The sequence below is a fragment of the Homo sapiens genome, chromosome 9 (assembly GCF_000001405.40).
Source record: "Homo sapiens chromosome 9, GRCh38.p14 Primary Assembly".
Classification (NCBI taxonomy): domain Eukaryota; kingdom Metazoa; phylum Chordata; class Mammalia; order Primates; family Hominidae; genus Homo; species Homo sapiens.
Genome location: NC_000009.12, coordinates 95,624,478 through 95,637,488, shown reverse-complemented (window position 1 = coordinate 95,637,488; position 13,011 = coordinate 95,624,478). Strand labels below are relative to the sequence as shown.

The window sequence follows — 13,011 nt, the reverse complement described above, 5'->3', positions numbered from 1 at the left end:
TCAGGGACCATCAGTGGTGAGAGGTTATGGTATTAGACAGCATCAGTCTAGTGTAACACAACTAAGGAGACCCTGAGCACAAAGACTCAGGCATGGGGAGAGTTAGGCATCTGGAATGAACTGAAAACAGAAGCTCTAAATAAAAACCTTCATTCTGAACAGTGATACTCACAGCTTCCTCTCACCCCCAAACCAGAACACAAACAATGAATCTCTTCTCTCCCCAGCCCCCAGTTCAGGAGATTTGGTCCTTTTCAGTACCTTGGAAGAAAGAGAAGCAATTTAGAGGGCAAAATTAAAACTTCAGAAGTCAGTAAACTCAAAGAATTAATAGAAGATATCACGTCCCTAAAGCAGTACCAGGATACCCTAAAAATGAGGAAGATATTTTGAAAATTAAAAATAGTACAGCTAAGTAAAAATGTCAACAGAGGGTTGGATTTAAAAAGACAACATAATCCGGCAGACAGGAGGAAAGATAAAAAAAATGAACTACAGAAGAGAAAAAGATAAGCAATTAGAGGATTAAGCCAGGAGATTCAACATGCAAAGGAGTTCAAGAAAAAGACAGTAGAAAAGACACTGACAGGAAATTAACAAAGAAAAATATGAGAAAAATTTCCTGGAAGTGATATCTGACTTTCAAAAGTATGTGCATATATTACTTCGATAACATTAAAATTTATTTAAAAACAAAAACTATTATAAAAAGAAAAAAAAAGAAACCATTAGACTTTGCTGTGGTATCTAAGGATGGGGGTAATGGGGTTATCGATCCTTCATGATGAACACAATTTCTGTTCCTAGCACCTGGTAAGTATTAACTGACCAGAGCAGCAAAGCCATCGGAGAGGTTGCCTCCCTGTTTCCCACCCCACCCCTTGTTCTATGGCACTGCTTTAATGCAACAACAACCAAAAATCCTCTGGGCTTCACATTGCAGAAAATCTCTTTTGTACTTTAAGGCATTTTTGTTCACATTCAGAATCTGTGGTCTAGACATTTCTTTGGCACTTGTCATCATCATCCCAGGGAAATGGAACTCAAATGAAAGGAAGGGTGGGGAGTGCCTTAGAATAATCCCCTGGAAGAAGAAACTGCAGAGCACATTCCCGCCCTCAATAGGCAGGCCTGGCTCCAGTGCTGACTGTACCAAGGGTGCAGGGTGGGAAGGGCAAGGAGGTGGTCTTGGAATCCCTGGGACCGGGGGAGTGGCAAGGGGGTGAGTCCATGGATGCCCTCAGTGGGTCCCTGTCTTCAAGGGCTCCCACATCAGAACATGCAGAGGACTCTAAAGGCAAGGTCCAGGAATCCACCTTTAACGGGAACCCCACCCCTCCATGTTACCCCCATTCATTCTCTTGCACACCTGCCAAAATTAGAGGACCACTGGGACACATAGGAGCACTGGAATTGGAATCACAATGGTACTTCTTCCAAATGCAGACATCTGTGATCCACCCCCAAATGTATTAAATGAAAATCTGCTAGGCACAGTGGTTCACCGGGTGTGATGGTGTGCACCTGTGATTCCAGCTACTCGGGAGGCTGAGGTGGGAGGACCGCTTGAACCTAGGAGGCCAAGGCTGCAGTGAGTTGAGATTGCACCACTGCACTCCAGCTTGGGTGACAGAGCAAGACCCTGTCTCAAAAAAAAAAAAAAAAAAGACAAATATATATATATGTATATATAAAGAGAACAGAGTGCTGAGAGTGATTCTCATGTGCTCCTCTACTTAAAAATCTCTGGATCGATGGCTCTCAAACGCATATATATTTTAGAATCTCCCAGGAAATATTATAAAAATGAAAATACCTAGGTTCCATGTCTTCTGAGTTGTGCAGTCATGAGTGAGGCCCAGGAATCTGCATTTTGACTGGCTCCCCATGATATTAGATGCAGGTAGTCCTGAGAGCTCACTGCTGAAAAACACAGCTGTATGCTCTGGAGCTTACATTTGCCTCAGACCACATCTCCAGAAGACCCCTTTGGTGTGCACCCATCTTCCTCAATGGGCTGAAAGAATCTTACATGGGAATCTGGGTTCAAATATCCAGATACTTCCCCAGCAAACACTCATCCGATTGCACCTACACTCACAGCTTAAAACAAGACAGGTTGAGAACTTTAGGCTCAGGACTTTTTACCCCATTTGCTTCTTGCTGACCTTGAGGATGTGCGGCTGGGAGAAGTACTTATGTTGTCCATTTATTTAAACCATCTCTGCCGGAAAAAAAAATAGGCTCATCATATGCTTGGGACCTTTATGTTATGACGGTGGGTGGTGTGGCCATATGTGTGAGTATATGTATGTATTACACAAATGCCTCTATAGACAGTGCTCAGGAATTGGATCTGTGCCAAGGGCAGATATTAAGGAGACATTTGATTAAGATCAAGCCCTGCCCAGTCATTTGAAGTGTATGTTAACAAAGAGTCAGGAAAAGGGGTCTGAGTGCCAATTCTCCAAGAACATGTGGAGGGCAGCCCCAGCTTGTGTGTGTGCTGTCCGGGAGGCAAACAACACTCCCTACCCAACTGCTGGAAACCAGATGAGAGAGTGGCCGTGCCACACTACTGCTGCAGGCGAGGGAATGGGCTTCTTGAAGAAAACATTTTGGATAAGTTCTAGAGGCCAGATAACTGCTCTGGGGAAGTTCAAAGACCTGCAGAGAGAACACAGCTCTCCCTAAAGGCAAGCGTCTGGTCATCGCTTCCCCAGGGGCATTCTCATCGAGGCCAGCACAGCTCTTCATGGAGAATCAAGACTGACAGGAATTAGAAAAATGACCAGAATGAGGCTGTCCGCAGGGTTTCCAAACAAGACAATGCTGCCTGGGCCCAGTGCCTCTGCCTGCCCTCCTGCTTCTAAAGGAGGGTGCCCCACAGGCTCTCAAATCTGGGCCCTTAATTAATCCTCCTGTGTCTCCAGTGCTCTGCATGTGAACAGCAGCAACGATCTACAAAGAAGCACTTACACCTAGAACACATTTACTAGTCCGTTCTCACACTGCTTTAAGGGAATACCTGAGACTGGGTAATTTATAAGAAAAGAGGTTGAATTGGCTCATGGTTCTGCAGGCTGTACAGGAAGTATGGCAGCATCAGCTTCTGGGGAGGCCTCTGGGAGCTTTCAATCACTGCAGAAGCCAAAGGGGTGTGAGGTGTCTCACATGGTGGGAGCGGGAGGAAAGGGGGGAGGTGCCACATACTTTTAAATGACCAGGTCTCACGAGAACTCACTCACTATCACAAGACGAACAGGGAAATCCACCCCCATGATTCAATCAACTCCCACCAAGCCCCACCTCCAACACTGGGGATTACAATTTGACAGGAGATTTGGGCTGGACACAGATCCAAGCCAGATCAACACACAAGGACAATCATCATACTCCGAAACACCTTAGGCACTAACGGGGTTACAAATCCATCTTTCGCATGGGATGTTAATGATCTGGGGAGGGCTTCTATTTGGGAAAGGTGGGTCATACAATGAGAGACAAAGTACTGAAGCTGATGTTTCCTGGCATTATGGTGGGGCATGTACACGTTTTTTTTTCTTTTTCTTTTTTCTTTTTTTTTTTTTTTTTTTTTTTTTGAGATGGAGTCTAGTTGTGTTGCCAGGCTGGAGTGCAGTGGCGCAATCTCAGCTCACTGCAACCTTCACCTTCCACCTCCAGGTTCAAGCGGTTCTCCTGCCTCAGCCTACCAAGTAGCTGAGATTACAGGCACACACTGCCATACCCAGCTAATTTTTGTATTTTTAGTAGAGACAGGGTTTCACCATGTTGGCCAGAATGGTCTCGATCTCCTGACCTTGTTATCTGCCCACCTCGGCCTCCCAAAGTGCTGGGATTACAGGTGTGGGCCACCATGCCTGGCCGTGTACAAGTTTTTAAAATAGAAAAGAGTGCAGCAATATGACAAATTCAGTCAGTCAAACCAGAACTCTCCAGGGTTTATCAATGCAATCTGATTGCAGTTAGAATTTTGCAGTGCACCAAGTATACTATCAACATATCAAAATGATATTGATGACAATGGTGATGATGACATCCTCATCATTTTCTGAGCATAGACTATGGTCCAACCCCTTAATATTTTACATGTATTTACTTTATTTATTCTTACAACAGTCCTGGTATTACCTCCACTTTATTAATGAGGAAACCGAGGCCCAGAGAAGTGAAGTTACTTGTCCAAATCCACACAACTAAAACTGAGAACTTGAGGCAGCCTTACATCAGTACCCATGGCTGTCACCACTGTTCAGTCAACACAATAGACAGTCTATCATTTTTCAGTTTTGCTCTTTGTTGGAGAAAAGAATGAAAACGGAAAGGGTTAGAATGGATTTGAGGGAAATCTGGGAGGAGTTTAAAGTCTAAAGAAAATGAGTGAAAGAGCTCTTGGATAGTTCCAGGGCCTGACAGTGATGGAGGGAAGCTCACAAGTTCCGTCTTCCTGGTAAAAGAAACTATGGAGTCAGATTGCTCCAGGGCCCAAGCCTCACTCTTGGAAACCACACTCAGATCAGCCCATGCAACACCTTTCCCCGGGGGTCGGACTGCCCCCTGAGACATCACACAGACCTCCAAGCAGGGTTTTCCATGCAGAAGCCTCTGGAGGATGAGCGCAGAGATGGAAGCCCTTCTCTCCCATGCGAATGGGCACCTGCAGCACCATCAGGCATCATTAAGGAGCATGCCGGCTGCTTTTTCCAATGGCGTTTGTGATGCTGAAGGACTCTTCTCTATGCAGATTCACCCCCGCCCCCCGCCTTTTTTTCTAATAGATTTCTTTTTACGTAACATCTATTTACATTTCATAGAAGCATTCCATGGCCCATACTAGGGGAAGCACACACTGGCTTAGGTGCTGCTGGTGATAACAAATGCAAGACCACCTCTTCCGTCAGAGATCTTACACTCCCATTTCCAAGACAGGATCAACTCACACCAAACTAGAGAACAAAGTAAGGAGAGTCCCTTCTAGCCAAAAGGTGCTCTGTGCAAACTAACAGGAAAATGGGGACATGTCCCTTACTCCAGGGGCATTTAGCCCCACACCAGGGCACACTGCTGTGAGCAGAGAGCATGGACTAGACTTTTGTCCCAGCTCATCCTCTTGGCCAGATGCCTTGTGCAGTGAGCAGCTTACACAACCTTACATGAAAATAAGACCCAATAAATTAAATATAACCCCATTTCAGTAAGTTTATTACCAATAGTTGAAAAAAGGACAAGAAGGGCATAGTTATCAAAGAACATTCCACAGCTAAATCTCCAGGTGCCCCAGCCTCACTGCAACTTCCCCTAGACTCTGCCTTCCTTCCGTTTTGCACGCATTGTCTGTGTTTCTGTCTCAAAGCCCAATTCCCCTCCCTCTCGCTGACTCGAAGACCTCTCATCTTCAGTTGACCCTTCTTTCAAGCCCCAGCAGTCTCCTCTTTCTATCAAATCATTCCAATCAATTAACAAATGCTGAGATGGCTCTCAGCTTAAAAAACAAACATTTTGACCGCATCTTTTCCAACTCTTGCCCCAATTCTCTCCACTCCCTTTCTTGGTGAAGCTCCTCAAAGAAGATGTCTGTACGGGCCATCTCCCTTCCCTGCCCCTAATCTGGGGGTGCCTCTGCAAGCCTGGCACAGACTTGGTCCCCCCAACCAGCTTAGGATACAGTGGTACCTGGCACTTACTGCACCAGGCTTGGCCTTTGGGGCATCAGTGACAACGGAGACAGAAGTACTCCCAGCTTATCCTCCTGACACATGACCATCATAACGCATGAATTCCCTGAAGCAATGAGACTCCCGTGATTCTATTTCTCTTGCTCTTCCCTTGTATTCAAGTGTCTGTCATCACCAGTCCATCACGGTCTTCAGTGCTCTTCAGCAACTTGCGAAGCATAGAAGTTCCCTAGGTCAAGGCTTACAGACTCAAATCCTTCCAGAGTCCAAGCAACAGTATGAATAGGGAGACCCACCGGGACTGAGAAATCCCAGATGAAGAGGAGTGACATGGAGGCTTAGTGCAGGGGAGCCATAGGGAGGGGTGGGGCCATTGCCAACTTGAAGGCAACAAGCCCTGCCCTGTCTGAAGGGGCAGCTCCTGCTGAGTTCAGGCCAACTGTTGCTTTGCTGGAATATGGGCTTATTGCTGTTCCAAACTCTAATTTTTCAAGAGAAGGTGGAAATCTGGCTTTTTATGTGAAATCTCCAGGTATTTAAAAGTTGGCTACTAATTCATACTTTCTTCAAAATACTGTGTGGACCAACAAACCAGAGGCCAATCAAAATACATATGGGCACCAGGGCTGGCAACAGGCCTTCAGGGTGCTACCTTGGCCTGATGTTTTCATCCTGAGTTCAACCTCCCTTTGATTATTTCTCCCAAGTTCCCCACAATTTTATTATTTCCTTTTCGTTCGCTCCAGCTCTCTTCTTGGGTCTTAGACATGGAACCAGGAGATAGATGGACAGAAAAAAATGTTCTTCCCCACATACTGAACTTAGAGATTCATTACTGATTCACATTGTAATTATGAGTCAAGAAGACTTTTTTCTCAACTTCTTTCTTATATTTCTATTCTAAATCAGAGCACAAAGAATAAACTTCCAGGGTCACCCACCAGATGACAGAGCCACCCAATGGGAATCACCCACATCATTTGTGAGCTCAAAGCCCCAAGCATACGTCTGACCAGAAAATTAAAAGGCAAATGGGACAAGCACTGAGCCAGAGGAACCAAAGACTGAGCTCTCTCCTCATTTAACACAGGGATCTCCAATGAGAATGCCTTCCACGCTTGTTACTCCTAAGAGTGATGGTTGCTAAGGCCAGGGGTGGGCCTGGGGACTGTGTGGTGCTGAGCTGTCAGCAAGGCCATTCTTACCTGCATTCACCTGCATTTCAGAAGCCTGGAAATTAGCAGAACTCCAGCGTTGCTCAGCAGAAGCTTATCCTTCTGCATCAAAGTAGTAGCTGAAAGAGCTGCCATCTTAGGTTAAGATGTTTAGCCTGCCTAAAACAGTGTATTTCTGAGGAAGAGTACATGTCACTCATTTATACTTCCTTTTTACCTTAGTATTGTGTATGTTTCAGACCTTTCCTAAGGGATATGTGTAGAAGAGAAGTTTCTCCAGGAGTCGAGAGGGGGATTCGCTGAAGAGCTTGGACACTGAGGCGCTACAGAGCATGCCGTGCTCACCAATGTCCATGGGCTCCTTCCACGGTTAGGTGGGTGGCATGATGGTTGTAGCCAAGGGCATCGCACTTCTGATTCAGGTGGTTAAGAACCTGGTGCTCCTTTTACTCTTTCTCTTCTGTCCACATGACTAGAAGTACCTGAGCCAACTCAGATCACAAAGCCACACCATGATCCCTGAGTCACTGCTTGGAGGACCACTGCCATGGAGCCACCCCGTTCTCGACAGACTTTGCACACCTGAGAAACACACTTGTATTCAGTTATTGGAATTTGAGGACTATTTGTTATAACAGCTAGCATGAATTACTATAACTAATACAAAAGAGAAACTGGAAAGGGTGGTCAAAATGTATCCACAGTCCTTTCCACAGCCGCTGGGCTGAGCTACAGGAAGTGGAAGCTGTGGTTATTCCACCCCTGTAACTGCTGTCCCCAGGTCCTGAGATAATGTCCACCTGTTCTTTGAGATAATGTCACCCAGATCTCCAGATCTTAAGGACCCATCTGGAATGTGGCCCCCTCCACTGTAGAACCCACATGGTTGCCACGGTTTTGCCTCATCGCGGGCACATTAACAGGTAAGGCCTGCGCGATTTTGCTGAGGAAAATGCAGCTCCCTTCAAGGTTGCCTGTGAGCTTAGGCAGTGAAAAGTTGTCTTAATAGAAAAAGTAGACCAGGTAGGACAGAGGAAGATTTGTGCCTGATTGCAAGAAAGCCACCCTATCTGCCATGGGTGAAGAAGGAGGGGAGAGCGATGACTTTACCTCTTCCGCTTGTTTTGCTAAATTGGTTTGACAGAGTTTCAGCAACAGCTTCAACTCCAGAGAAGCTACTCCAGAATGGCAAATTTGGTTTTCAGGCTCCAGTTATAGAGGCATGACCCCTGATCATCCAGATAGACAGAGAGAACCTTAACTTGGTTAAATAGATACTGTAAAGGATATAGATTAAACTGGCTTCCATCAAAAAATGTCCATCTTCTTTGCCCCCTAAAAGAAAGAAACAAAATAAATAAATAATAAGAAGACAAGGGCCAGGCATGATGGCTCATGCTGGTAATTCCAACATTTTGGGAGGCTGAGGCAGGAGGATCACTTGAGCCCAGGAGTTTGAGACCAGCCTGGGCAACATAGCAAGACCACATCTCCACAAAAATAAAAATAAAAACAAAAATTAGCTGGATGTGGTGGTGCATGCCTCTAGTCTCAGCTGCTCAGAAAGCTGAGGCAGGAGGATCACGTGAGTCTAGAAATTTGACACTACAGTGAGCTATAATCGCGCCACTGTACTTCAGACTGGATGACAGAGTAAGACCCTGTCTCTCAAAAAAAGTTTTTTTTTCAAAGACAAGGAAGGAGCAGAGGAGGAGAAAGAAGAGATGAATGACCCTCCTTATTTGACACAAATGCAGAAAGATACACAGTTGACCATTGAGCACTGTCGGAGTTATGAGTGGTGATCCCTTGAGCCGCCAAAAATTCACACAGAACTTTCAACTCCTTAAAAACCTAACTACTAATAGCCTACTTTTGACTGGAAACCAAGAAGATAAGCAGTTGATTGACACATATTTTGTATGTCTTATGTATTACATACTGTATTCTTACAATAAAGTAAACTAGAGAAAATAAAATGTTACTAAGAAAATCATAAGGAAGAGAAAATACATTTACTAGTCTATAAGTGAAAGCAGACCATCCTAAAGACCTCATTGTCTTCATGTGGAGTAGGACGAGGAGGACGAGGAGGAGGAGGGGTTAGCCTCGCTCTCTCTGGGGGCAGAGATGGAAGGAAAACCATGTACAAGTGGACTCGCGCAGTTCAAACCCGCGTTGCTCAAGAGCCACCTGCATGTTTTGCGATCCCAGGATCCAGTTTCCATTATCTGGAAAGAGTTCTAGCACTTCTGAGTCCCATTGTCCCTTGCTCAGGCAGCATTTGTGGATTAATTTCTCATCCTCAGCATGATGATGTTGGGTGCCCTGTGGTTTGACCCCTCAGCTCACCCATTCAGGTGGGAAGAACTTTTCTTTCTGCTTATTTAGCACAGGCGGGTAGGAAACTAACATCAGTCTTTTTCAGGTGGCCACTGCCCCCGGCCAGAGTGAACAGGACCAGGGACTCTCTGGGGGGTCTGGCAGGAACCATGGCTGTGGCTGAGGAAGCACTCTGGTATGTATCAAGTGCAGCGTGTGTCCTGACTCGTGAGGCTGCCCCAGATCCAATGCATAAAAGGGAGAATCCAGTTGGCCCCACTGTAGTAACATGCCTACCGCTTGGCCAGGGAGAGCAGGGCGCCTTGATTGACAGTCTACCATGCGGGTGAGCTAATTCCCTGGAATGCACAGGACGGGGATGAGGTCATTTCCTGGAAAGGAAATGGGGTGCTATTAGCATGAACGGGGAGCAGCAAAAACAACAAATGTCCATTCTACCTCCTTTCTAAGTTCATAGATTTGATTTTAGCCCAAGACTCCTGGAGACTGATGCTTTCATTCAAAGGCTTGGCATCCATGGAAAGGTGGAAAAGCATGCCCTGGTTGGGTGGTAAAGAGAGAACACCACTCCATGCAGCGTCCTGACACTGGAAACTGATGACTGACCTGGATGCTCATTTCCTCCTGTGAAATTATTCCTCTCCTATTTCAGAAATGAGGAAGGTGGGGCAAAGATGAGAAAACTGCCCAACATCATCAGCTAAGCAGAAACCCGCCATGCGTCCGAGATCTCTGTCTTAAGGCTCAACCTCCCGACCCCAAGCATCCCTCTCGGTCAACTTCCCCTGCTGACAGGAGGGTCCTGGGGGGCTGAGGGCCTCACCACCACTGGAACCATTTCTGAAAGCACGCATCCTCCTGGGGTAGGGGCATGGGGCGTGGCTGTAGGCTTGACTTGAGGCTGACTGTTCCTGTCAAGGCTGGGGAGGGAGGGGACCAGGAAGGGGGTCAGGAACGGGAAGGAACACAACGTGACAGATTTCAAAAGGTGACAATATTTTCCTGAAAATATAGTGTCTATGTGCAGTAGGTTTCGATATAACTAACCTTCTCTCTTGAGTTTGAGCTGGGAATTGATTTTTTTTTTTTTTTTACAGGAAAAGGAAATGCATGGGTGTGGAGCTGCCAGCAGCGAGGGAAGTTCCCAGGCGACTTGTCATGATGCAATTTATAGACCCAAGTCTCAGAAAGGCTGTGGCGGGCTGAGGAGAGGGTGTGATTTGCTGACAGTGGAGCCTGGCACCTGGCACCCATCCACGCCGCTGAGCTCAGCATGCACGTGTGTCGCCGGGACACGACGGCATCAGGGCCATTGAAGTGAAAAGGGCAGAAGGCAAATGCACTCATCCAGAGCGGACATAAAAAAGGAACCCGGAAAGCAACAGAGAGGGGAAGGGGAGCTGGCTCCAGGGTGAGGGGCCTCCCACGACCTCTCCGAGACCTGACTTGCCGCAGCTAATTGAACCTGCCCTCCGCTCCTGAAACACACATAGCATGGATGCTGGCAAGGTCTTCCTGCCCAAGAGAAGAACGTCCCTTTCGCTGTCAGTCCAGCTCTTCTGGGAAGTGGACAAATGGACCTCAAGGGACAGAATCAAATAACTTGACTCCCACCCTGTCCCCGAGGCTTTCCCCAGAGCCACAGAGACCAGAGGAAGCGGCTGGAAGACTCTGCGAGAGCCCATTAGGCAGCAAGTCCTGACAGTCCACATGGCGTCCCGGCCTAGGGCCGCAGCGGTGTTTACAGAGCCCGGGGGCCCTGCCAGAGCTAACATGCCACACGCTCGGCCCATCTGGGCAGGCTGGAAAAAGTCAACCATTTTCCTCTGGATCCCGATGGCTGTGGCTCAAAACATTCCGCACAGCTACATTTGCTTCCCTCCCCTCACATCTCTTCAGAAAACCCACACATCTGTATACACACTTGAAAATAAATAAGCATAAATGCAGAATCCACACTGAAGGTGGGGGGCAGGACAGGCCTCGGGGGCTCCTCTCTGCACGGACCCTGCCTGAAGCTGCTCTCCTGCCCCAGGACAGCCCACCCCGGGCAGGCTCCAACTGCAGCATTTTCTAGAAGTGTGAGAACTCTTACCAACGTGCTACCTGGCTCTGTGGCTCCCCAGTCAACACAAACACAATTTTGAGGTCTGCAGTTCAAATTTGCTTCCCCTACAAGCTTCTGAGCTGGGTTCATAGGGCAAAAAGGCCCGAGTTTCTTTTCAAGTCAATTGGAAACCCTCCAAGCCAAGACCCGTCCCCATACACCAACTTTACCAAGGTTTTCCTTCTCACTAACACAACAAAAGATAAAGCCTCTGCTCTGCTCTTTTTGAGCTTATTCTTGTCCATTTTTCAAACTCGGCCTCGTTGTTTTGATCCTCTTGGATCCTGGGGATTGAAAGTGCCACCTGATTTCTGGAAGCCTGGGGGTGCACGGGTGGTCCTGTCCTCTTAGCATGCTGTGGGGCAAGGGAAGGCAGTTGGGGTTTGAAGCCAGGCTAATTCAGGGTGCCGCTGAACAACAGCCACCACAGAGAAAGCAGAGAGCCATGCACACACACTCGCCAGGGGCCAGCAAAGGGTGCTGCCATCTGCAGCTGCATTGTTGACCGTCACATAGCTGCTTCTCACACTTGGGTGTCTACAAAATGGCCACGATATCAGTTGCTATGGTAATGGGCATCCTGGTGAGTGTGCCAGGAGCCAGCCTTTTGCCCCTAAAACCTCAGCCTCCAGTAGGCAACTGGCTGGGCCCTCCTCTGACTGGCAGACATCTTTCTCCTGTCGAAGTGCAGCTCCCAGCACCTCCTCTGCAAAGCTCCCTCACCCCGGTACATCCAATCACCCCTCAGGATTTGAAAACCCATTTTCTCCCTCACAGTTTTAAGATGACATTTTTAAAAACTTTTATTGTGAGTTTAAATAGTTGCAGAGAATGTCATTTCCTTACTATTGTAAATATTAGCATTTTAAAATAAAACCATTACATCACTCTTTTAAACTCTGCCAATGGAACTAAGTAGCGGAGCAATTCTGTACCCACAATGACCAATTTTTAAAATACATGAAAAGTCTTCTTTATTTGCTTCTTGTTCCATTTTCTCCTTGAACTCATATTTCCATTCCATTTACTCCTCGTACTTCTTAGCAATTGTCATTTGCTAAGGAATATCTTAGCAATTGTCATGTTTGAAAGTTATTTTCATAAATGACCATCATTATCATTCTATTCTGACACAAAAATGCACATACACTAAAATTTTAATTTCAGTATCATTGTAAGACTGTAAGGTTTAAACAGCTTTTTCTAGACCAAGTTTATAATTTCAATAATCATCAGAATACAATTGATCAAAACAACATAGCTCTATAATGTGTTTAAATAAATAATCAAAAAGGTGTTTTTTTCAATCAGCTGATATACTCACAGAAGAAAATTACTTATTGCTAAAATGAAATGGGGTCCAAAATTAATTCTATTTCTATTTCACATTTTTAGAAAAACATTGTGAGAAACTTTGTTCTCCTCAAAAACAAGAGATCAATGAAAGGAGTTTTATGATGTCAAAAATTACATTATAAACTATTATCAAAAATTAGTAATGACCTGTCACCTGACAAATCAACTTGGTCCCCCTTCAATTTTGTCAAAAGAAAAGAAATGGAAACCATGAGACATGAAAATGTATTTGTTACCCAGTCATTTGTCATTCACTGTCTTGATTCTGGGAAATACACCAAAAAGACTGCCCCCAAACTTCTCAGATGACTGCTAATTATACCTGCTACTCATT

At 46.0% G+C, this 13,011-nt stretch overlaps 4 annotated features.

Annotated features, from left to right (window-relative positions):
* Window positions 9,175-10,374: an enhancer, noted in NCBI's record as "CDK7 strongly-dependent group 2 enhancer chr9:98389397-98390596 (GRCh37/hg19 assembly coordinates)". NCBI's record gives its function as "activates an origin of replication core promoter dependent on BRD2, BRD4, P300/CBP, MED14 and CDK7 cofactors, with strong dependence on CDK7, by STARR-seq in HCT116 cells {active_cell/tissue: HCT116}" and the evidence as "EXISTENCE:reporter gene assay evidence [ECO:0000049][PMID:35650434]".
* Window positions 9,175-10,906: a biological region, named in NCBI's record as "CDK7 strongly-dependent group 2 enhancer GRCh37_chr9:98389397-98390596".
* Window positions 9,408-9,702: an enhancer, noted in NCBI's record as "tiled region #14573; HepG2 Activating non-DNase unmatched - State 21:Repr, and K562 Activating non-DNase unmatched - State 21:Repr". NCBI's record gives its function as "activates a minimal TATA promoter and a strong SV40 promoter by Sharpr-MPRA in HepG2 and K562 cells {active_cell/tissue: HepG2 | K562}" and the evidence as "EXISTENCE:reporter gene assay evidence [ECO:0000049][PMID:27701403]".
* Window positions 10,227-10,906: an enhancer, noted in NCBI's record as "H3K27ac-H3K4me1 hESC enhancer chr9:98388865-98389544 (GRCh37/hg19 assembly coordinates)". NCBI's record gives its function as "activates a minimal SCP1, AML or CMV promoter by ChIP-STARR-seq in naive H9 embryonic stem cells {active_cell/tissue: H9 hESC(naive)}" and the evidence as "EXISTENCE:reporter gene assay evidence [ECO:0000049][PMID:30033119]".